Raw genomic sequence first — 25,557 nt, 5'->3', positions numbered from 1 at the left:
ACTTTGTGAGCAACATGGCTGTTTATTTCACCTGGGTGCAGGTGGGCTGGGTCTGAAAGAGAGTCAGCAAAGGGAGATAGGGGTGGGGCCATTTTATAGGATTTGGGTAGGCAAAGGAAAATTACAGTCAAAGGGGGTTTGTTCTCTGGCAGGCAGAGTGGGGGTCAGAAGGTACTCAGTGGGGGAGGTTTTGAGCCAGAATGAGCCAGGAGAAGGAATTTCACAAGACAATGTCATCAGTTAAGGCAGGAACAGACCATTTTCACTTCTTTTGTGGAGGAATGTCATCAGTTAAGGCAGGAACAGACCATTTTCACTTCTTTTGTGGAGGAATGTCATCAGTTAAGGCAGGAACCAGCCATCTGGATGTGTATGTGCAGGTCACAGGGGATATGATGGCTTATCTTGGGCTCAGAGACCTGACACCCAGGGCAGGCTGGCTCAGCCCCTTTGACTTCAGATTTCAGGGAATGCCAGGGAGCTGGATTGGGTGCCTGGATTTTCTGAGAATTATATTTCTGAGAGGATGTTGAAACCTAAACGGGAATACTTTACACACAGGTCATCAGGCAGGAACTGGGAAGTTCTGAAGCTGCCCTCCTTCACACCACCTCCTCCCTTCAGAGACCAAGGGCTGCCAAGCTGTCTCCCACACACCTCAGTGAAAACTTCCTGGCTCTCCTCCCAGCCACCTCGCTGTGACCTCGTGAGGTGTCAGAAGGAGGAAGGGGATCTACGTTCTGGATGAACCTTCCTTCCTCCTTGCCGAGAAATAGTTTAGGCCCCTGCGCCTGCTGGGCCTCAGACCTTCTCAGAGCCCAGGGCCCACTCTGGCTCCTGCAAGCTGCCTGGGAATTCCACGGAGGCTGACTGGCTGCCTGTCTTATTCCCAGTCTGCTGCAACCCATTTCCTAAGCTTGGGTGGCTGAAAACAACAGAAATTCATCCTCTCACAGTTCTGGAGGCCAGAGGCTGAATGCAGGTGTTGGCAGGGCTGTACTGCCTTTGAAGGTTCTAGGGAAGAATCCTTCCTGACTTTTTCTAGTTTTGGATGGTGGCCGGCAATGCACGGCATTCCTTGGCTTCAGATGCATCATTCCAGCTGCACACAGCTGTCTTCCCTCTGAGTCTCTTCTTTTCTTCTTATAAGGATACCAGTCATAGGGTGTGAAGGGCCCACCTTACTCCAGTATGTCGCCAAGTTAATTCGTTACATCTGCAACCTCCCAATTTCCAAATGTCACATTCTGAGGTTCCTGATTGAAGGGGTGGGTTGCCCCTCCACACCTGTGGGCGTTTCTCGTTAGGTGGAATGAGAGACCTGGAAAAGAAAGAGACACAGAGACAAGGTATAGAGAAAGAAAATAGGGCCCAGGGGACCGGCGTTCAGCATATGGAGGACCCATGCCGGTCAGGCTGCCACCGGCCTCTGAGTTCCCTTAGTATTTATTGACAATTATCAGGCGTTTCCCGGAGAGGGGGATTTGGCAGGACAATAGGGTAATAGCGGAGAGAAGGTCAGTAGGAAAACACGTCAACAAAGCTCTCTGCATCTTAAACAAGGTAAAGAATTAAGTGCTGTGCTTTTGATGTGCATACACATAAACATCTTAATCCATTAAAGAGCAGTATTGCTGCCAGCATGTCCCACCTCCAGCCCTAAGGTGGTTTTCCCTTATCTCAGTAGAAGGAATATACAATCGGGCTTGACACCAAGACGTTCCATTGCCCAGGGAGAAGCAGGCGACAGATGCCTTCCTCTTATCTCAACTGCAAAGAGGCCTTCCTCTTTCACTAATCCTCCTCAGCAAAGATGCTTTACGGGGTGTCGGGCTGGGGGACAGTCAGGTCTTTCCCTTCCCAGGAGGCCATATATCAGGCTATCACATGGGGAGAAACCTTGGACAATACCTGGCTTTCCCAGGCAGAGGTCCCTGTGGCCTTCAGCAGTGTTTTGTGTCTCTGGGTACTTGAGATTAGGGAGTGGTGATGACTCTTAACAAGCATGCTGCCTTCAAGCATTTGTTTAACAAAGCACACCCTGCACAGCCCTTAATCCATTTAACCCTGAGTTGACACAGCACATGTCTCAGAGAGCACAGGGTTGGGGGTAGGGTTACAGATTAACAGCATCTCAAGACAGAAGAATTTTTCTTAGTACCTAACAAAATGGAGTCTCTTATTTCTACTTTCTACACAGACACAGTAACAATCTGATCTCTCTTTCTTTTCCCCACATTGATAAACATGAATTTGAGAGGACACCATTCAACCCACAGCAGAGCCCCACCATCACCTCTCTGCACAGGGCACCCTGCCTGTCTTTCCTCTCCAGCACCAACACAGAGCCAAGAGTGATTTCTTGAAATGAAACTGCATCCTCTCATCCCAATAAGGCATGGCCTCACTAGTGGGAGATGAGCAAATGAAAGCCTCCCTCAGGATGGGCATCCACACATCCAGGGGATACTCACCCCAATTTTTTTTTCCCGGTTTATAAAGGTGCTCAGGACTTCTTGGTTCCTGGCCAATACCTTAGTGCTTCCTGAAGGGGAAAGAGCCCTCCAAACCATTCAGTAGGCCATCCCAGACCAAGGTTTCTGACCCATACATTGAAACAGGAGGAGTACCCTTATCCCCCTTGCAGGGCATGCTACTGGGGCATGGCTCACTTCTCAGTATCCTGCTGCTCAAACCCCTAGAGGGAGCGTGCAGACGGGCAGGTCGTTGGGAGCGTTTCTGGGCTCTGGCCCCACAGCAGCTTGTGGAATTGGGTGTTTACAGCTCCCGAAGCCCCAGTGGGCATGTGTTACAGTGGTCTCCTTCAGTTTTGCCATCTGCAGGTGGCTTGTGTTAATCAGCTCAATTAGGCCCTCTGCCTTATCACAAAGACAGAGGGCTTTCTGTATCCCAGGTTCTTGCCCTAGTGTACTTGAAAAATCAGATCACACGTGGACTTGGAGAATGAATGCAAGATTTTATTGAGTGGAGGAGGTGGCTCTCAGATGGATGGGGAGCCAGAAGGGGGATGGAGTGGGAAGGTGGTCTTCCCCTAGAGTCTAGCAGCCCGACTCTCCACCAACCACCCCCAACTGAATTCCACATCTCCCCACTGTCAAAAGCCTGCCAGCATCTGCTGATGTCTGTCGGTGTCCTCTTCTGCTTCTCTGCTCCTCTTGATGTCCAGCCACTTTTGTCTGTGCCCACTAGGGTCTTGGGTTTTTTATGGGCACAGGATGGGGGTCATAGCAGGCCAGAGTAGTCTTGGAAAATGCAACATTTGGACATGAAAACAGGAGTGCCTGTTCTCACTAAGGTCCAAGGGCACAAGCCCGAGGGCAGAGCCCTCGCGAGGGTCCCCACCCTTCTCTACCCAGCACTCCCCTGCCCCCCTTCCATATCAAAATTAAAGCTGACATTGGCTCCTGTGTCTCACCTCTGGGCCTGGTTTTGTGACCTCTGCACCAGAGCTGCTAGGGAGGCCCTACCCCACATGTTGTTAACTCAACAGTCCTTCCCCAGGGGAACCAACATCCTCCTGTCCCCAAACCCAAGGAGGATTGGTGGGTTCCTGGGCCTTTTGTAACCCGACTGAATATTTTCTAGGTTACCTAACCAAACTCCTGCAAAAACACACCATCTATGCCTGTGATGGGGACTATCTGAATCTACAGTGCCCTCGGCATTCTACAATAAGTGTTCAATTGGCATTTTATGGGCAAGATTACCAAATGTGTAGTTCCCAGAAGCCTGCCTCCCAGAGGGAAGACAGCTTAACCTGTGTGGCATCCACCACCTTCCAGGTATTGCCTTTTATAGACACGTTAAGATGATACAGTTTCAACAGACACTCTTTCTCTCTCTCTAGGTATAAATATATTTGTGATTATATAGTTCAATCCAAGCAAAACTGATCCATGAAAAATCCCAACTTATACAGATCACCAGTTTTGTAGGTGAGCTGTTATTTGCTTCTCAAAGGATTTGTTACCCAACAAAACTAAATAGAATTCCTACCTATTGTAGAGCCCCCTTTGTACACTTCAATATGAATGTATTTGTAGGTTTACTCCTTACTTCAGTATAGCAAAGTACAACCAGGATAGATTCCAACCTCCAGGCCCATATCTCCCATAAATACTCCTGTAGAAAGGGAAAGTGGGTTCTTTAATGGAAACCACAAGTATCTCTTTGAGGCAGACGTCTGAACTCATGACCAACTTCTTAGAAAATGTACTCAAAGGGCCAGGCGTGGTGGCTCATGCCTGTAATCCCAGCACTTTGGGAGGCCAAGGCAGGTGGATCACGAGGTCAGGAGATTGAGACCATCCTGGCTCACACGGTGAAACCCTGTCTCTACTAAAAATACAAAAAATTAGCCAGGTGTTGTGGTGGGCACCTGTAGTCCCAGCTACTCCAGAGGCTGAGGCAAGAGAATGGCATGAACCCGGGAGGTGGAGCTTGCAGTAAGCAGAGGTCAGGCCACGGCACTCCAGCCTGGGCAACAGAGCGAGACTCTGTCTCAAAAAAAAAAAAAAATTCAAATCATTATTAAACATTTTTACTAATTAAATGGTTTTGGAGAACATTCTTTAAAAAAAATTACGTTTTCTTCAACAGTGCATATGTAATGCCAACTTTGTATGACATTGCAAAGAAAGATTTTACTATGTTAAGCAGATTAAACAAATTTTCCTTGAATTCTTTGGGAACAAAGTACAACCTGGTCCAAAACATCCTAACCTAGAATGCACCATCAGCTTGACAGTCAGTTGTTCCTGGATTTACCAGATTTGGGGCAGACTTTTCATGCTTCTCTAAGGAGGGATTCTTAACTGACACCGTCCCTTGTTTTTGCCCTTTTCCTAGTAAAGGAAATGATTTGATTTGGTATCATATCATCTTTCTTGTTTTTTTTTTTTTTTTAAATTAGAGATGAGGCCTTGCTGTGTTTCCCAGACTGGTCTCCAAATTCTGGGCTCAGGCAATCCTCCTGCCTCAGCCTCACTCCCAAAATGCTGGGATTACGGGTGTGAGCCACTGTGCCTGGCCTCTTTCTTGTCTTTTAAACAAATAAATGTAAGCTGGGCATGGTGTACATTCATATATTCCCAGGTACTTGAGAAGCTGAGGCGAGAGGATCCCTTGAGCCTAGGTTTGAGCCCAAGAGTTCAAGGCTGCAGTGAGCTATGATTGCACCACTGCACTCCAGCCTGGGTAATAGAGTGAAACCCTGTCTCTGAAAAACTAAACTAATGCTGGGCGTTGTGGTTCAAGCCTGTAATCCCAGCACTTTGGGAGGCCGAGGCGGGCGGATCACGAGGTCAGGAGATCGAGACCATCCTGGCTAACAAGGTGAAACCCCATCTCTACTAAAAGTACAAAATTATTTGGGCATGGTGACGTATGCCTGTAATCCCAGCTACTTGGGAGGCTGTGACAAGGAGAATCACTTGAACCTGGTAGGTGGAGTTGGCAGTGAGCTGAGATCTCACCACTGCACTCAGCTTGGGTGAGAGGGGTGAAACTCTGTCTCAAAAAAAAAAAAAAAAAAAAAAAAAAGACACGGTCCTGTTTTCATGGGGTGAACAGTGGAGGGAGAAAGGCAAGCATTAACCAAATAGCCAGACACATCATCATGCCCTATTGTGACAAATGCTATTTTAGAAAAGGGAAGAAGACTATAGCAGTGGAGGGGGCCTAATTTAGCTTGGGTTGGTGGTTTAAGTCTTCCAAAGAGAAGCATCCTGTAGGGTGAACACTAGCGTATGCACACTAGCTGCACACTAGGGGCTGACACACTGAGGCTGCTGAGTGGGAGAGGAAAGGTGTTGATGAGGAGGAAGATGGCCCTGGTTTAAACTGTTGAGAACAGGGTCCTGCACACAGTAGGAGCTCCATGAAGAGTGGTTCCTAGTGTTTTTGCCAACATATCTGAAGTGGAGCAGGATGGTGATCAATCACACCCCAGTCCCCGACCTCATTCTAAAACAGTTTGAAACAAGGAGATGCAAAAATCTGACAAGTGTGTTGACAATGGTGATTTTAAAGGTCCTAAAAGATTCTCTGGATATCAGAGCCAATTTCACTTAGTAGAGGGGCACATTCCCTGCAGTGGCCTGTGTCATACACAGCCAATTTAACCTTTTTACTGCCTGGTTACTCTGCAAAGTGCACCCTAGAATGACCTTCCTCTCTGAGCTCCTCTTCAAAATTCTGATTCTTTCTCAAACTATAAAGCCTCTGGCATTTGCCAAGAGCCAAGGCCCTCCTGAAGCCACAGTTTGAGAACAAGCCAAGAGGCAGACATGACAAAGAAGTCCCACCCCTGGCAGGGAGAGCTGACACTTCCCGGGCTACTGCATCCTTCTCAGGGCTCAGAAATGAATGAGAGGTAATTAAAGCAGAAAGCATTTTGCAGCAGCTCAGCTCAGCTCTCCGAAGCTGCCATGGTCCCAGGATCAGTGGTGTGCCCTGAGGACAGCCAAGGGACATTCCTCGAGGCCCTGGAAATCATCAGCCACCTCCAGCAACTTCACCGGGCCTCCCTGGGAAGTCTCCCTTGCTGCTGATGGGCACGAAGGCACCAGGGCCTCCTGTACATGGAAAACTCACAATCTAGGAATGTCCTGTGGTTGTTGATCCTGGGACATCCCCAGAAGAATTTAGTTAAGCCCTCCAAGAAAGGAAACAAGGTTTTCTTGCTGCTGAAGATGTCTCACTTGTTCTTTTTTAAAAAAGCAGTGCAATTGAATTTGCAGTTTGTTTTTGCTTTCTTTCCATTTCCTGTTGCTACTTCTCCAAGATCTCAGCTGGGCTGAGGAACAAACAAAAATAAGCAATTTTATGCAGGAGGAATATTCAGTTTCCACTCCCTTCTTCCAGCCTGCGGCAGTGTGCTTGGCCTGCAGAATTCCTGCTCTGCCCTCTGTTTCAGCGAGTGTTGTCATCTGCCAGCTGCTTTGCCTGGGGGTTCTGACATCCCAGGGCTTATTCTTAGCATCAGTTCAGCAGAGTCTTAAACCACCTTCAAAGGAGTCGGTCATGCTGCCATCCTCTCTGCATCTTTCTGTAGTCCTTTCTGATAATATTTAGCAAATCACTTTAGCACAGAGTCTTCGAATTCTTTCCAGATTTACGATGGAAACACAGAGGCAAAGAGCTTGGGGTAGAAAGCAGAATAGCAGGTGCTGGGAGAGTTTAATGGTGGATTTTGAGTTGGTCACAGTCATTTTGCTTTACTAAGTCCAGGGAAGCTCATCTTCAGAGTTAACCACTGTGTGTGTGTGTATATATATATATATATATATATATATTTTTTTTTTTTTTTTTGAGATGGAGTCTTGCTCTGTCACCCAGGCTGGAGTGCAGTGGCACACTCTCAGCTCACTGCAACCTCCACTTCCTGGGTTCAAGTGAGCACATCCGGCTAATTTTTGTATTTTTTAGTAGAGACGGGGTTTCACCATGTTGGCCAGGCTGGTCTTGAACTCCTGACTCAAATGATCCACCTGCCTCAGACTCCCAAAGTGCCAGGATTACAGGCATGAGCCACCATGCCCAGCCCAGAGTTAACCACTCTATTGAGGTGTTGTTTATTTTGCTTAAAATTCTATTACACGTGAATACAATTCAATGATTTTTAGTAAATTTAGAGTTGTGCAACCATCACTACCCTCCAGTTTTAAAACATTTTCACAATCCCCCGAAGCTCTCTTATGCCCATTTGCCATAACTGCCCCATTCCTAACCCCCCGGTCCCAGGTAACCACACATCTACTTTCTCTCTAGATTTGCCTTTTCTGAATATTTCATACAAATGGAATTATGCAATGGATGGTTTTGTGTGTGTGTGCATGGCTGACTTCTTTAACTGAATGTAATGTTTCAGAGGTTCATCCACGTTGTAGCATGTATCATATCAGTACTTCATTTTTTTTTTTTAGAGTTGAAGTCTCACGCTGTCACCCAGGCTGGAATGCAGTGGTGCGATGTTCGCTCACTGCAACCTCTGCCTCCCGGGTTCAAGCAATTCTCCCTGCCTCAGCCTCCCAAGTAGCTGGGATTACAGCCGTGTGCCACCAGGCCCAGCTAACTTTGTATTTTTAGTACAGACGGGGTTTCAAATATGTTGGCCAGGCTGGTCTCGAACTCCTGACCTCAAGTAATCTGTCCACCTCGACCTCCCAAAGTGCTGGGATTACAGGTGTAAGCCATCATGCCGAGCCTTCATTCCTTTTTATTACTGAGGTGAATTCTGCTGGATGGATATATCATATCTTGTTTTTATTCTCCATTTTTTAAATATTGCAAAATGGGCCTAAAACCATGTCTCTGGAGGATTTGATGATCACGTGGATAGCATTGGGTTGTGTGTATGTGTGTGTATCTAACAGGGAGAGGGAGTGACTCTTGCACCGATTTGGAAAGTGATTTTAAAATCTTATCTACATTGCATTTAAAAATCTATTAAGAGTCCACATTTTAAAAATATACCACGTATTTAAAATATTTCTTTTTGGCTTTTAGTTCCCAAGAACATGCTCATAGTGATTGATCCAGCCATTCCTAATCTAAAACCTTCTTTGAAGCAGAAAGATGGTGAATATGGTAATTTTTATGGCTTACTACCAGCATTTCTCTTTAAGTAAAGGTAAACAGCCCCTGGGTGACCACAGTTGGGCACACATTGATTAGAATGGAAGAGGCTGTCAGGAGGTGTGTTTGAGGTACCGGTCCTGGTGATGATAGTGCTTTAGCCAATAGTTGCAATGAACACCAATTTATTTTGTTTTGACTTTTTTAACATCAGAAGTAGGATAAACCTCCCCTTCATTCTCCTCTCACTTCCTAAAAGGAAAATCACTTTGAAAAGACATCTGCTCAGAAGTAAATTTGGGCTTCCTGGGTTACACAATGAGCTTTTTGCAAAGCTCAGCCCATTGGATCCTGTGTAGGCACCAGTACCGGCTAGCACCTGAGGACCTCCGTACCTCTGTACACGCCACCTTCCTCCTTAGTTTCCTTCCTTCCTTCTTTCCTTCCTTCCTTCCTTCCTTTCTCTTGCTTCGGAGTTTCACCCTTGTCACCCAGGGCCAGCTAGGACCTGAGGGCCTCCGTACCTCTGTACACGCCACCTTCCTCCTTAGTTTCCTTCCTCCCTCCCTTCCTCCCTCCCTCCCTCCCTCTCTCTCTCTTTCTCTCTCTCCCTGTTTTCTTCCTTCCTTCCTTCTTCTCCTTCTTCTTTCTTTCTTTCTCTCCCTCTGTCTCTCTTTCTTTTTTTCTGTCTCTCTTTCTTTCCCTCCCTCCCTCCGTCTCTCCCTCTCTCTCTCTTTCTTTCTTTCTTTTTCTCTTTCTCTCTCTTTCTTTCTTTCCCTCCCACCCTCCCTCTCTCCCTCTCTCTCTCTCTCTTTCTTTCTTCCTTTCTTTCTTCTTCTTCTTTGGTGTTTTGCTTTTTCTCACCCAGGCTGGAGTGCAGTGGCACAATCTCCACTCACTGCAACCTCTGCCTCCGGGTTCAAGTGATTCTCCTGCCTCAGCCTCCTAGGTAGCTGGGATTATAGGTGTCCACCACCACACCTTGCTAATTTTTGTACTTTTAGTAGAGATGGGATTTTACCATGTTAGTCAGGCTGCTCTTGAACTCCTGACCTCAGGTGTTCCCCTCACCTCAGACTCCCAAAGTGCTGGGATTACAGGTGTGAACCACTGCACCCAGCCCCTCCTTAGTTTTCACTTGGCTTTTGTAAATGGGGTGGAGGGGTGGGGGGGGTTGAGGGGGTTGAGCATTTGGATTTTCTTATCAAATCTAGAATGGAATTCAAACCCATAGGGTCCCTAATAGAAATTGCAGAGACCCAGTAGAGCATCTAAGATGTGAGGCTTTGGTGAGAGTTTTGTTTCGTGTTACCTTTATTGTATGTATTATGTCTTTCCTCCCTAAGTATAAAAGTAAAGTATGTTTGATATGAAAACCACATGAAACACCCCTAGTCCAAAAGCTCAGAGAGAACTATGGTAATGTTCTTCTGTGTCCTTCTAGCTGGCCACCTTGGCTTTCTGGCAGGCTCTGTGTTCCTTAGCTCCACTTCTCTTTCTTTTTTTAAAAAAAAAATCAACTAATTAATTAACTATTATTATTATTTTTCTAAAGACAGGGCTTTGCCAAGTTGCCCTGGCTGGTCTCGAACTCCTGGGCTAAAGCAATCCACCCACTTCATCCTTCAAAGGTGCTGGGATTACAGGCATAGGCCACCACACCCAGCCTCCACTTATTTTTCTAACAGGGTTCCCACCCAATCCATAAACAGCCTGGTCCCCCTGCAGTGGGGGCCTGAGAGCCAGCACTGTGCCATCTCTCCTCAAAGGCATCTGTCCTGTCTGACATGGCTAGGATTCCCCTAAGCCACCACCAGGCTACCCTATCATAGGCTTGCTAAGCTCCATCCAGGAGTGTAACCAGGATCTAAAAGCAAATTTGCCTCACGTTTTGCTGTTGTTTCCAAAAAAGTAGCCCAATACCACCTCCCTCTGTAATGGAGGCTTGTTTTATCTCTGGCCACAGAGCGGACAGCAACTCCATGCTTAACATGAGATATTATTGGCCGGGGGTGGTGGCTCAAGCCTGTTATCCCAGCATGATAACAGGCATTATCACATTACTTTGGGAGGCCGAGGCAGGCAGATTGCCTGAGGTCAGGAGTTCGAGACAAACCTGGCCAACGTGGGGAAGCCCCATCTCTAATAAAAATACAAAAATTTGCTGGTCATGGTGGCATGTGCCTGTAATCCCAGCTACTCAGGAGGCTGAGGCAGGACAATCGCTTGAACCCAGGAGATAGAGGTTGCAGTGAGCTGAGATCGTGCCATTGCACTCCAGCCTGGGTAACAAGAGTGAAACTTCATCTCAAAAGTAAATAAATAAATAAATAAACAATTAAAATAAAGCGAGATGTTATTAAGCTTCCAAGGGGTGTGATGAATGTCACTGTCTTTAGGATGGGAAAATTCATTTGTTCCCTTCCGCAGTGGAGTGGAAGACCAGCACCTGAAGTTGGAACCAACACTTAAAACAATTTCTAATCCTTTTTGTACTTGAATATTTTCGGGGACTCCTTACTATTTAATAAGTGCTCTTCCTGGGTTAATCTTCTATAATTTAGCCAGAGGCCCATTTGTTTGATTTCTGTGACTTTAATTATTCTGGCTGTCCCTCGGGTAGGAACAGCAGAGGTCTCTTAGAATAGGCATACTATGAACAGCTGTGATTAATTGGTTTTGCATTTTTCATGAAACAGGCATGAACTTCGACCCAAGCGAATCGAAGGTTCTGAGAAAGATGGAATTCTTGTTAGCGACTCTCTGGCAGCCTTTGCTTACATTAGAGATAGGTTAATGAATCAAAGCTTCCTAGAATGCTGATGGATTTACTAAAGTCTTGTTCATAAATGTGCTGTTCAATTATAACACTCAGAGAACTAAAGGACAATGACTTCAAGTTTGACATGCCAACCACTGCTTCTAAGATTCAGAAACACAGAGGCCTGAGTTCAGGCACAGTCGCAACCAGGCAGTCAGCAAGAGAACCACATAAACAGACAAAGTCACACTATTTAGGAGTTGAGCTCCACAGATATTGTTTGCTTTTGAAAAGTAGAAACCCGAGGAATGCATTTCCCAGCTCTAAAATTTGGGAAGGAACTAGAATTATTGAATTCCAGCCCTGGCTGGAAGAAAAATGAGCCAGAAGGTCACTTAGTAAACAAGACAGATGATGCCTCATGAAGACAGAACCACTTTCTGGGTCATGAGTGTTATTCCTAATGGTTGCCAAGGATTCCCTTGTTAGTCTTCCCCATGAGGATCAATCAAACTCAGCCCTCATGAATTAACAGAGCCAAAAGCCTTATACCAAGGCTGGCCACACCACGGGGACCTCTTCATTGAGGGGAAGGTATGTACAATTTTTCCTCACCCCCCTCTCTGCTTATCTTAAGATAGAATGAATTTTGGAATGTCATCTGCAAGTTTCAGCAAAGCCTGCCTATGTTCAGAGAGACAAAAACCAGAGACTTTCAGTAAAATACATGTTAATGTAACACATAACAGTATTACTATTCAAGGCCTGCAAAGATAGGGCTATTCGGGGTAAGCCTGTCTCAGAGGAAAATAGAGGCTTAGGGAATGTATTTGTCTGTTCTCATGCTACTAATAAAGACATGCCTGAGGCTGGGTAATTTATAAAGGAAAGAGGTTTAATAGACTCACAGTTCCACATGGTTAAGGAGGCCTCACAATCTCGGTGGAAGGTGAATGAGGAGCAAAGTCACGTCTTACTTGGTAGCAGGCAAGAGAGCTTGTGCAGGGGAACTCCCCTTTATAAAACCATCAGATCTTGTGAGACTTATTCACTATCATGAGAACAGCATGGGAAAGACCCACCCAATGATTCAATTACCTCCCACCACGTCCCTCCTATGACACATGCGGATTAGGGGAGCTACAATTCCAGATGAGATTTGGGTGGGGACACAGCCAAACCATATCAGGGAATAATCTCAATACATGAGATGCAGAGTTCTGTCTTGGGGTCCCCTGATGTTCTATTTTCCTCCTGCGTTAGGATTCCTCCTGTGTGTGTGTGTTGTGTGGTTGCTGGTTTCTTCTGTGGGTCCTCTCTTTTCTAGCCACCTTCTCATTTTCATGACTTGCTGTTCCTGATCATTGTCAATGTTAAGAACCGTAAGGATTTTTCTTGTCAGAAATATCCCCATATTTACAAAGACCCCAGGGAGCTTCTTGGAGAAAAGCCAACATGAAAATCCTCCAGACAGAGAATAACAATTGAAGGGGAATGAGTCTGACATTGTGCTCAGTGAGCTGTGGCCATGCTGTGTGCTTTACCCCAACTACCTTGTCAGTTCCTCTCAACAACTGCCTCAGCCAGCCCAGCTGCCATAATAAAGTACCCGAGACCGGATGGCCTAAATAACAGACATTGGTTTTCTCACTGTTCTGGAGGCTAGAAGTTCATGATCAAAGTATCCACCAATCCCTTTCTGGTAAGGGCTGTCTTCCTGCCTTGTAGACAGCAGCCTTCTTGCTTGTCCTCACATAGTAGTGAGGGGGAGAGACAGAGACAGAGACATCTCTTCTTTTTATAAAACCATCAATCCTATCAGATTAGGATTCCACTCTTATGACCTCCTTTAACGTTAATTAGCTCCTAATGAGTGAATTGGGGGGAACACAATTCAGTCCACAGCAACAACCCTGAGAGATGGGACTCTGGTCCCCTGTTCTGCACTTGAAGCCAGTGGTCAGAGGAGTTGAGCCATTTGCCTGAGGACACCATGGACAACGGCAGGGCCAGGATTCAGGCTCAGCTAATACAAGGCTTGCACTCCAGCTACTCTGAATTTTGAGGGATGCAACCACCTCCCCATTCTGATCCTGAGTTGTCTAAATTAGCTTTCCTCCATCCCTTTCTATCCTTTTATGTGATTGTCATTCCCAGAAACCACAGGATAGAGATATTCATTTAGTGACTGTCTCTCCTGCTAGTGGCTCAGCTCCACAGGGGCAGGTGCTTTGTCATCTTATTTTGCGTGGTGTCCCTGCATCTAGGATGCGGTGCTGGTACAGAACGGGTGCGCAGTCAGTAGTTAAGGAACAATTGAATGATGACTGCTGATCTGGGCTTATGAGCTTTTTCCTGTGCCTTATTGTCATCCAATATTTGCTATTTATAAGATGTCAATTTTTTTTTAATGTAAAGAGTTGATGAGCTGTTATTTGGTTTTATTGAGGGGTGTTTTGGGGCATTTATCTCAGCAAACCATGGCCACGCCTCCATATAATGTCCAAGAGAAAGAGTCTCTAAATGCACTGTGTTGGATGTTAGCTAAATGAAATCACCACAAGAAGCTCGTGACTCAAATCACAGGGGCTCACAAAGCCCTAGTAGAACGGGGGCCTCTGGGCTTGCCTGTGGATTTTCTTGGTGTGTCGGTATCCCTGTCTGCGTGGCCACTCTAGAGGTGAGAAGCATGCAGCGCATGCTCAGGGGTCTGCAGGCCAGTGTGCCGCAGAGGTGCATGTGGACATCAGGCTGGGCCATTTCGACCTAAACAGGCAGTGGCCACCAGCCAATGTCACACAGTGCTGAGCTCCATCCTCAATGCTGCTGGAGAGAGGTGCCCAGAAAACTCTCAGTCGCATCCCCGGCCCCACTGTGGGGATGTGACCCATGGGTTGAGCTGGGGTCTCTAGGCACCCCCAAAGCAGGAGCAGCTGGGAGCCAAGAGTGTGAGCAGGGCAGTTTCCAGCCCAAACCACCCAAATAGGTGGCAAATCGAGTGAATCCAAAAGTACATTTCCCAGGTCAGGCTGCAAGTAGCTTTGACACAGTAGTGCAGTCCAGTGTACATGGGGACAAAGAGATGAGAAACCAAAATCGAGAGGTTTGTCCCCTGATATTAAAGCACAGAGGTTGGCAGAAGGGAGAGGGAGATGAACAAGTGTTCCTGGTGAAGTGTCTCCTGGGGTCATTTGAATGATCTGTGAGATGGTTTCCCCAACATTGAAAAAGCCTCTTAGGCATGATTGAATTTAGTGTCATTTCAATAATACAGACTTACTCCCTGAATTCATTCTAGAATCAAGATCATGAGCCTGAGGAAGCTCATAGAAAAAAATTGGAAATTAGAGAAATGGAAAAGGAGTGGTGTGTGTGTATGTGTGCATGTGTGTCCATGTGTGTGCGTGTGTGTGCACGTGTGCACGTGTGCGTGTGCGTGTGTGCATGTGTGTGCATGTGCACGTGTGCATGTGCGTCTGTAAGCATGTGTGTATGTGCATGTGTGTGCATACGTGTGAGTGTGTGCATGTGGCTGTGTGCATGTGTGTGCATCTGTGTGTGCATGTGTGTCTGTATCTGTCTGCATGAGTCTGTGTGCATCTGTGTGTGCATGTGTGCACGTGTTTTTGTGTGAGCATGTGTATGTGTGTGCATGTGTTTGTGTGTACATGTGTGTACATGCGTATCTGCGTGTGCATGTTTGCATGTGTGTGCCTGTATGTGCATGCATGTGTATCTCTACATGTGTGCATGTGTGTGTGCATGTATGAGTGTGCATGTGTGTTTGCATGTGTGTTCATGCATGTGTATCTCTGTGCATATGTGTATCTGTGTGTGCATGTGTTCGTATGTATGTGCATGTGTGTGCTTTCGTGTGTTTGTGTGCATGTGTGTATCTGTGTGTGTATGTGTGTATCTGTGTGTGTGCCTGTATGTATGTGTATCTGTATGTTTGTGCGTGTGTGTGTATCTGTATGTGTGCTTGTATGTGTGGGGGGGGTGCATGTGTGTATGCATGCATGTGTGTGCATGCATATGTGCATGTGTATGTGTGTGTGTGTGTGTGTTGGAAGTTCTTAGCAAGGCAGTGTAATAGCTGGCTCGGCATGAACCATTGTCCCCTGGCAGATTGTGCCCAAGGAGACCTATGTATTTAGCCTTGCAGGAGAATATGACCTCTCCTATTCCACCGAATTACTGTTTCATTGACATCTGGCTTTGGGTGTTTACCTCATATGTGTCTGCAGGCATGCCTTTTGTGGCCTAATATTTCCGTTGCTGCCCCTGCCCCCTTGGGACAGTGACAGATATGTCATCAGCCTCTGGCAGGCCCTGCTGTGGGCTTTTGGGGCACAGGGGTAAGGAAGCTGGGCAAAAGCGACAGGCTTGCAGCCTGGGATATCCTGTGTTGGGAAGCATCATTCTTTCATAAGGGAGGAACTGCAGGGCCACAGACAAGCTCGTACTGAAAGAGAAACACAACAACACGCTCCAGAGTCAGAGCTACGTGATTCCCCCACCAGGGAGGACCACTGGAAATCAGCACCACCTTGTCACGGAGATGTGGATTTGGATGTGTTCCCACGGTCTCCAATCTCTGGTTCCATGACAGAAGGTTCCTGTCACACCAATAAGTGCTGTCAGACCAGCGCTCGGTATGGTTTGTGCTTTCTTCTGGACAACCCTCGGGCCCTGACTGCTGCCTTGATCCTCTCAACAGCAATAGGGCCCCGACAGGGGGAACCCTCGCCATGGCCTCTGGGTGTCTTATCTGGACATGAACGAGCTGGAGTGTGTGTTTGCCCCAAGTCAGGATCTAAGACTGGAAAGGAGCCTTTAAAGGCCATAGGACCCCCTTCAGAAGCTCCCAAGTGCATACAGCAGCTGATCAAATTAAAGTCATTCACTCCAGCTGGGGATGAACCAAGCCTAAATTTAAAACAATGCCGGCAATAACACAGTGTGAAGATTCTGTTGAATCACAAGGCAAACTCTGTTTTTCCAGAATACAGAATAGGAAAAGGAGATACAAAAGTATAAAGTAGTCCAAGTGATTCTAGAGAAGAGTTGACATTCCCTTAGTGTAAAGCCTGGGACCATGGAGAGAGCCCTGGCCTGAGCTTGGGGTCCCAGCAAAGTGGTGGCTTTGCACAAGCGACTTGACTACAACAAGAGGGGTTGGGTTGGACCAGCTCATCATTAAGATTCCAGCTGACCAACATCTGGTGAGTTTGTAACTTCAAACTAGTTGATCCAGATGACTCAGAAGCCTCGTTCCCAGGGACCTGCCAAGCTTTGCCCATGTTGCCCATCTCTGGCAGCTGCATCTCAGCAGAGTCGATGCAGACTAGCCCTAAAGAGTCTCACTTAGCAGGAGGCAGGCCTAGGCCAAGAGACACCTGGAGTCTTATGAGAGAGAAGCTCTCCTGGCAGGAGAACCCAGACACCCACCTCCCAGGAGAAGAGGAGAGAGAAAAAATGGGAACTGATTTTATGGAGCCCCATCCCCAGGGCGCCAAGTCGAGGGCTTAAATCCATGATTCCCTCCTTTTATGCACTCAGCAAATATTTTCATAATGCCCACTCTGTGCCAGAGATGGCAATGGGGATTTGGCAAAGAAGAAGACGGTTCCAGCCCCTGCCCTCAGGGATCTTGCATTCTAGGTGGAGAGAAAGGATGGCACCCACTCAGCGAGTGAGTCAGGATTGTAAATTGGGCTGTGAAGAAGACATTCAAGATACTCTGAGACTAAATGACAGGGGACCTGGCTAGGCTAAGGCAGGGGGAGTTATCTAGTAGTGCTGGATGAAGAGGGAGGAAAGAACTTTCCAGGCTAACAGAAGAGCACATGCAGAAACACCAGGGTGCGCAGGCATCTGATGCAAAACGAGTGAGGAATGGGAGGCCGGAGCGGGGAGCAGAGAGGAAACGGAAGGTCTCGGGAGTTGAACTTGGGGAGGGTGACAAGGGCCAGGTCATAGCCGGCTTCCTAGGCTGTGGTCAGGACTTGACTTTTATTAGGTTGGTGCAAAAGTAATTGTGATTTCCGCCATTACTTTTTTTTTTTTTTTATCAGAGCCTGTCTCGGTCACCCAGGTTGGAGTACAGTGGTGTGATCTTGGATCACTGCAACCTCCGCCTCCCACATTCAAGCCATTTTCCTGCCTCATCCTCCCAAGTAGCAGGAACTACAGGCGCACACCACCACCCCCAGCTAATTTTAATTTTTGTAATTTTAGTAGAGATGGGGTTTCACCATGTTGCCCAGGCTGATCTCAAACTGCTGACCTCAAGTGATCCACCTGCCTCGGTCTCCCAAACTGCTGGAATTACAGGTGTGAGCCACCATGCCCAGTCAATTTCTGCCATTACTTAGGAGACGGAAGAGGTCATCTATACATTTTAAGTCAGGCAGTGGTGTGACCCAATGGGTATTTCTAAAAGATTACAGAGGCCATGCAGGAAAGATGGTTTCATATGGTCTGTGGTTGCTTTTGCACTACAACAGCAGAGCTGTTATATTTGCAACAGAGACCACATGGCCCATAAACCTGCAATAGTTCCTATCTGGCCATTCACTAGAAGAGGGGGGCAAGAGAGCAGGATGGGGCCCAAGTGCCTGCAGGGAAGATGGAGCAGAACAGTGTTTCATCCCTGTTTTTCAGATAATTTCACGAGGTCGAAAGACATCTTAATGAAAGTGAAAGTACAAGGTATTTACCAGGAGATATTCACACCAGAGGCCACGTCTCACACCTGCAATCCCAGCTTCACACCAGATTCAATGGTTCACACCTGTAGTCCCAGCGTTTGGGGAGGTCAAGGCAGGAGGATCATTTTCAGCCAGGAGTTTAAGACCAGCCCGGGCAAAATAGTCAGACCTCATCTCTTCAAAAAAATATAATAAAAAGTTAGCCAGGCATGGTACTACATGTCTGTAGTCCCGGCTACTCAGGAGGCTGAGGTGAGAGGATTGTTTGAGCCCAGAAATTCAAGGCCGCAGCACGCTATGATTGTGCCACTGCACTCCAGTCTGGGTGAAAAAGGGAGACTCTCTCTCTTTCTCACTCTCTCTCTCACACGCTCTCTCTCTCTCTCTATATATATATGTATATATATGTATATATGTATATATGTGTATATATGTATATATACGTATATGTATGTGTATATATGTATATATGTATGTGTATATATGTATATATGTATATATGTATATATATGTATATATGTATATATATGTATATATGTATATATGTATATATATGTATATATGTATATATGTATATATGTATGTATATGTACATATATATATACTCACAATATATTTGCTGTCAAATTATTATCATCAAAAGTCTATAGAAAATAAACACATCCTTGGGCTGGGCACAGTGGCTCACGGCTGTAATCCTAACACTTTGGGAAGTTGAGGTGGGTGGATCACCTGAGCTCACGAGTTCAAGACCAGCTTGGCCAACATGGCAAACCCCATCTCTACTGAAAATACAAAAATTAGCTGGTGTGGTGGCACGCACCTCTAATCTCAGCTACTCAGGAGGCTGAGGCGCAAGAATCGCTCGAACCCGGGAGGCGGAGGTTGCAGTGACCCCAGATTGTGCCACTACACTCCAGCCTGTGCGACAGAGTGAGACTACATGAAAACGCAAAACAAAACAAAATAAAACCAAACCAAAAAAAAAACAACAAAAACAAACAGGCACTTCTGACGCAGGCCGCAACATGGATGAACCTTGAAGACATTATCGTCAGTGAAATAAATAAATCCCAAAAGGATAAACATGCCAAAGCTCAGTGGCTCGCACCTGTAAGCCCAGCATTTTGGGAGGCTGAGGCAGGCGGATCACTTAAGCTCAGGAGTTCGAGACCAGCCTGGCCAATATGGTGAAAGCTCGTCTCTATTAAAAATACAAAAATTAGCTGGGTGTGATAGCGCACGCCTGTAATCCCAGCTACTCGGGAGACTGAGACATAAGAATAGCTTGAACCCCCAATGTGGAGGTTGCAGTGAGCCGAGTTCATGCCACTGCACTCGAAACTGGGTGACAGAGAAAGACGCTGACTCTAAAAAAAAAAAAAAAAATTGAACACGGTATGATTCCACTTATCTATCAAGTGTCTAGAGTAGTTAGACTCCTAGAGTTACAAACTAGAAAGGTGGCCCCCAGGGGTGGGCGAGAGAGAGGAGTGGAGAGCTTGGCGAATGGTTGCAATTTCCATTTTGAAAAATAAAACTGTTCTGGAGATGATGACGGTGATGGTTGCTAAACAGTGTGAACGTACTTAATGTCATTAAACTGTAAACTGAAAAAGAGTGGAAACTGTAAAGGTTTATACTGGCCATTCTATATGAAATAATATATATTTATAATTTTTAATATTTATACATGGTGTATTTTCCCATAATAAAAGATGAAAATTAAAGCAGTTGGATCTTTAAAAAGCAAAGAAAGAAGGGAACAATACACACCAGCTTTCTCCTGATTAGAGGAAGAGCCCCAAAGCTTCTATGGACACTCACTTTTCTCTTCTTCTTCTTGCATGATGATGAGGAAATCCTCAGAGGTTGGGGGAACATGGGTGACTTTGGCTAATGAGGAGCTCTGTGCCTTGAGCCCCCCAGGCCACAGAACAGTAAATACTCAGTCTGTGCCTCCAGCCCTTCAGTGTGAGGTTCCAGTCCTGTGGGCTCCACAGCCGTCACCTGTATCAGGAGGCACATGTCTCACCCTGTCTTCTTGCCAGCCTTGAGGATGGAGTCTGAGCATCCATCGTGCAACACGCAGGGAGGACAGTGGACCTGTCCTCCATGGTCATGGCTCAGCAGAGGGGAAGGGCAGTTCAGTGAGTGTAGGCAAAAGAAAGAGTGCTCAGACTGTTACTGTGTCTCTGTAGAAAGGAAAGACATAAGAGACTCCATTTTGAGAAAGACCTGTACTTTCAACAATTGCTTTGCTGAGATGGTGTTAATGTGTAGCTTTGCCCCAGCCACTTTGACCCAACCTGAAGCTCACAAAAACATGTGTTGTATGAAATCAAGGTTTAAGGGATCTAGGGCTGTGCAGGATGTGCCTTGTTAAGATGTTTCCAAGCAGTATACTTGGTAAAAGTCATCGCCATTCTCTAGTCTCAATAAACCAGGGGCACAATACACTATGGAAAGCCGCAGGGACCACTTCCCTTGAAAGCGGCGTATTGTCCAAGGTTTCTCCCCATTTGATAGTCTGAAAAGTGGCCTCGTGGGAGGAGAAAGAACTGACCATCCCTGAGCCCGACCCCCATAAAGGGTCTGTGCTGAGGTGGATTAGTCAAAGAGGAAAGCCTCTTGCAGTTGAGAGAGAGGAAGGCCACTGTCTCCGGCCTGCCCCTGGGAACTGAATGTCTTGGTATAAAACCCGATTGTACATTTGTTCAATTCTGAGATGGGGGAAAAACCGACCTATGGTGGGAGGTGAGACATGTTGGCAGCAATGCTGCCTTGTTATTCTTTACTCCACTGAGATGTTTGGGTGGAGAGAAACATAAATCTGGCTTATGTACACGTCCAGTCATAGAACCTTCCCGTGAACTTCATGATGACATAGATTCTATTGCTCACATCTTCGTTGCTGACCTTCTCCTTATTATCACCCTGCCCTCCTACTACATTCCTTTTTGCTAAAATAATAAAAATAATAATCAATAAAAACTGAGGGAACTCAGAGGCCGGTGCCGGTACAGATCCTTGGTATGCTGAGCGCCGGTCCCCTGGGCTCAATGTTTTTTCTCCATACTTTGTCTCTGTGTCTTATTTCTTTCCTCAGTCTCTCATCCCACCCGACTAGAAATACCCACAGGTGTGGAGGGGCAGGCCACCCCTTCAAGTGAGTGCTGAGGGACAGTCGGGAGGCTTGCTTGGTTTCCTCCTCCTCAGGACAAACAGGAGAGTGAGGTGGGCAGATGGGAGGAGACCAATGTGCAAACTGTCCGCTCAGCAGACTGTGAAGTTGCTGTTTTTTGTTGTGCTGGGGGTCTCAGAAATCTTATTCAAAATTTTGCTTTCCTCCCCCACTGGTTGTCCTTTTCATAGACACCTCACCCATGATAGCAGGCAATCAGTCCCTCTAAACTATTCCCTAAGAACAACAAAAAGATTATGAAGGTGATGATGAGGATAAAGAGGATGACGACAGACATCATGGCATCATGAACCCTTACTGAGGGCTTCTTAAAGGCCAGGCTCTGAGCTCTGTGCTCTATGCAGCTCGTTTCATTTCATCTGCATAGTCTCCACGTTATTAGTGCACACTTCAGGATGATTTTACAGACTAGAAAAGGAGCAACACCTTTTCAGATAACTCATACTAGATCATGAAGTCAAAAAGGGTGAAGTCCAATTTGAACCAGGCAGTCTAAGTCCAGACACATGGCATTTGGCCAGTCCTCTCCCTGCAACCAACCTGCCCTCTCAAATCCTCGTCACTCAGGCGGATGCCACTCCTCACTGTGCCCTTCCCTTTGGGGGTTCCTTGTAGACCACAGCTAGACCAGTGGGTGCCACAATCACTGTGTCAAGTATGGAAAGGACAGCTGAGATCACATCGAGGATTCCAGAAAGAATTGGCACAGCATCATTCGGGACGCATCTCTCCCTTGCCCCTGTTCCTGGCTTTCCTTACAGCTCTCGACTTCCTCAAAGGAGTCATCAATTCGGAGTTTGGCTTCCATTCCTATTGAGGAAGCTGGAAAGCGTTTCAAAAATGCTCCTCCTATGTGCCTGTGGTTAAGACCTCTGAGCTCTGCTTAAAACTTTTGGAAGCTGGGAGCGGTGGCTCATGCCTGTAATCCCAACCCTTTGGGAGGCTGAGGCAGGTGAATCACAAGGTCAGGAATTCGAGACCAGCCTGGCCAACATGGTGAAACCACGTCTCTACTCAAAATAGAAAAAAATGAGCCAGGCGTAGTGGCGGGTGCCTGTCATCTCAGCTACTTGGCAGGCTGAGGCAGGAGAATAGCTTGAACCTGGGATGCAGAGGTTGCAGTGAGCCGAGATCACTCCACTGCACTCCAGCCTGGGCAACGGAGCGAGACTCCATCTCAAAACAACAAAAACAAAAACCAAAAAACCCACAACTTTTTGAGAGTTGGAAGACCAGGAAGTATAGCACCCGGGACTTCGAGTCTGGCCATGAATTTTGAATACCACCCTTTCTACTTCTCTGTATGGCAAGGGTGAGACGTCCATCCTCTGACACTCAGCACTCTCATCTGACTTGATTTCCAGTTGATCCGATGGAAGTGAGTGATGATTAAGCCGATCGTGGGTGCCCGCTGGGTGATCTCTAGGCGACGGAGGCATAAAGTAAAGGCAAAGTGAATTTTAGATACATTCCTTAAGATGTTCAGCTTCAACTCCACACAATTCAACGGAAATATCCCCTGACCTGAAGTTCTGCTTTCCCTGCATTCCAGACACGACATTTTGTTGTGTCCTTCTCTCAGTAAGTAGTGAGTACTGTGAGAGGAACAAGTGAGTCTCTTTGGTTTCTGATTCCCCAGAGCCTATATCTTGCTTGGCACCTAGGAGACAGCAAAAGTCAAAATGTATGTTAATGATTGAATTGACACTTCCTTGCTTCACCAAAATTGGCTGTCATCAGCGTGACTTTGACTTACTTGATGCTTTTTGTTTTTTGTTTTTTGAGACGGAGTTTTGCTCTCATTGCCCAGGCTGGCGTGCAGTGGTGTGATTTCGGCTCACTGTAGTCTCTGCCTCCCAGGTTCAAGCCATTCTCCTGCCTCAGCCTCCCGAGTAGCTGGGACTACAGGCGCGCGCCGCCATACCGGGCAAAGTTTTTGTATTTTTAGTAGAGGCGGGGTTTCACCATGTTGGCCAGGATGGTCTTGATCTCCTGACCCCGTGATCCGCCCTCCTCGGCCTCCCAAAGTGCTGGGATTACAGGCGTGAGCCACCGCGTCCGGCCAAACGTTCTGATGAAAACCCTAAGTCCACCTAAGCTAAGGACAGGAGTCAGAGCTTCCATGAATTTTAAAACAAGACCCACCGATTTGAGTAAGCAATTACTCTCTCGAAGGAGAAAAGTCCGAAAACAGAATGATGAAATCACTAGGACCTAACTGGCATGTGGAACTATTTTCTGCTTAGGAACTATCAACTTTCATTTCATTTCCAGATGGCATGGTCTCAGCTGTTATACAGTGTTTACAAATGTTCTAAATCAAGGGAATTTGTATCAATCTAGTAGAATAAATAAAATATTTGAGTTCTTAATTTCCTTTAATTAGGATAACCTTTTTCTTAAAGTGAAGACAATGGTTTTATTACATCTTTTTCTTCGGAAAAGATAGGCTGTATTTTCTAGCAATTACGAATTTGTTGTATATGATGATCTGGTTCTTGGAACGTTCTTGAAGCTAGTGTCTCTAAGGCAGGTGTGTACAGCAAGACGTGAATAACACAGCAATGGATGTTGAAAGCATTATAAGGCAATTGAGCTTGTCAGAACTACAAAATATTGCTGAGTGTGGATTGCTCGGAAATCGGAAAACATGACTTGTGTATTGCTTATATCCAAAATGCAGACACGATGCTGGGTATTGGTTTACTTGTTTCCGATTTTGCAACCCTCTTTTCCAGGCAAAAGAGGGTCGTATCCAAACGATACAGACCCACAGAGTCTAACAGATGTCTCTATATTCCTCCTCCTCGAACTCTCAGAGGATCCAGAACTGCAGCCGGTCGTCGCTGGGCTGTTCCTGTCCATGTGCCTGGTCACGGTGCTGGGGAACCTGCTCATCATCCTGGCCGTCAGCCCTGACTCCCACCTCCCCACCCCCATGTACTTCTTCCTCTCCAACCTGTCCTTGCCTGACATCGGTTTCACCTCCACCACGGTCCCCAAGATGAGCGTGGACATCCAGTCTCACAGCAGAGTCATCTCCTATGCAGGCTGCCTGACTCAGATGTCTCTCTTTGCCATTTTTGGAGGCATGGAAGAGAGACATGCTCCTGAGGTGATGGCCTATGACCTGTTTGTAGCCATCTGTCACCTTCTATATCGTTCAGCCATCTTGAACCCGTTTGTCCGTGGCTTCCTAGATTTGTTGTCTTTGTTGTTGGTTTTTTTTTTTTTTCTCTCAGTCTTTTAGACTCCCAGCTGCACAACTTGATTGCCTTACAAATGACCTACTTCAAGGATGTGGAAATTCCTAATTTCTTCTGGGAACCTTCTCAACTCCCCCATCTTGCATGTTGTGACACCTTCACCAGGAACAACAACATGTATTTCCCTGCTGCCGTATTTGGTTTTCTTCCCATCTCGGGGACCCTTTTCTCTTACTGTAAAATTGTTTCCTCCATTCTGAGGGTTTCATCATCAGGTGGGAAGTACAAACCTTCTCCACCTGTGGGTCTCACCTGTCAGTTGTTTGCTGATTTTATGGAGCAGGCGTTGGAGGGTACCTTGGTTCAGATGTGTCATCTTCCCCGAGAAAGGGTGCAGTGGCCTCAGTGACGTACGTACACGGTGGTCACCCCCATGCTGAACTCCTTCATCTACAGCCTGAGAAACGGGGATATTAAAAGTGTCCTACGGCGGCCGCATGGCAGCACAGTCTAATCTCAATACGTTCTTATCTGTTCCATTCCTTTTGTAGGGTGGGTTAACAAAGACAGCAAGGTCAAATAAGAATGATATCACAGGGTGAAGACCCACTGTGATATTACGAGTAATACCTCCCTAGGACATAAAAAATACTGTCACAGAGTACACACACATGGGGTACACCCACGGTGATATTAGAAGCACTATCTCCCTTAAATATTATGAAAAATATCACAGGGTGTGCACACTGTGTGATATGAGGAGTCATATTTACCCTGGATATCACAACTCGTATCAAGGGTGTACACACACCAGGTACACGCACTGTGATATCAGGAGTTGCATCTCCCTAGGATATTACGAATAATATCACAGGGTATACACTATGTGTGAACATCCACTGTGACATTTGAACTCATATCTCTCTATGAGATTACAAATAATAGCAAAGTGTGTACACCCCTGTGACATATTAGGAGTAACATCCTTCTAGGGTATTGCAGATAACATCACAAGGTGTACACCTTCTATGACCTTTTGCGCACACTTTGTGCCATTCAAGGAAACATCCCCCT

At 46.4% G+C, this 25,557-nt stretch overlaps 2 pseudogenes, besides 2 other annotated features; both read left to right on the top strand.

The window, feature by feature from the left end:
- Positions 1,020-2,014: an enhancer, noted in NCBI's record as "OCT4-NANOG-H3K27ac-H3K4me1 hESC enhancer chr3:129776356-129777350 (GRCh37/hg19 assembly coordinates)". NCBI's record gives its function as "activates a minimal SCP1, AML or CMV promoter by ChIP-STARR-seq in naive H9 embryonic stem cells {active_cell/tissue: H9 hESC(naive)}" and the evidence as "EXISTENCE:reporter gene assay evidence [ECO:0000049][PMID:30033119]".
- Positions 2,015-3,010: an enhancer, noted in NCBI's record as "OCT4-NANOG-H3K27ac hESC enhancer chr3:129775360-129776355 (GRCh37/hg19 assembly coordinates)". NCBI's record gives its function as "activates a minimal SCP1, AML or CMV promoter by ChIP-STARR-seq in naive H9 embryonic stem cells {active_cell/tissue: H9 hESC(naive)}" and the evidence as "EXISTENCE:reporter gene assay evidence [ECO:0000049][PMID:30033119]".
- On the top strand, positions 3,607-11,384 carry EVA1CP6 (EVA1C pseudogene 6; annotated as a pseudogene).
- OR7E21P (olfactory receptor family 7 subfamily E member 21 pseudogene) lies at positions 23,986-25,039 on the top strand (annotated as a pseudogene).

This window comes from Homo sapiens, chromosome 3 (genome assembly GCF_000001405.40).
Source record: "Homo sapiens chromosome 3, GRCh38.p14 Primary Assembly".
Taxonomy (NCBI): Eukaryota; Metazoa; Chordata; class Mammalia; order Primates; family Hominidae; genus Homo; species Homo sapiens.
The sequence above is the reverse complement of the archived record's forward strand: the minus strand, read 5'-3'. Positions and strand labels throughout refer to the sequence as shown.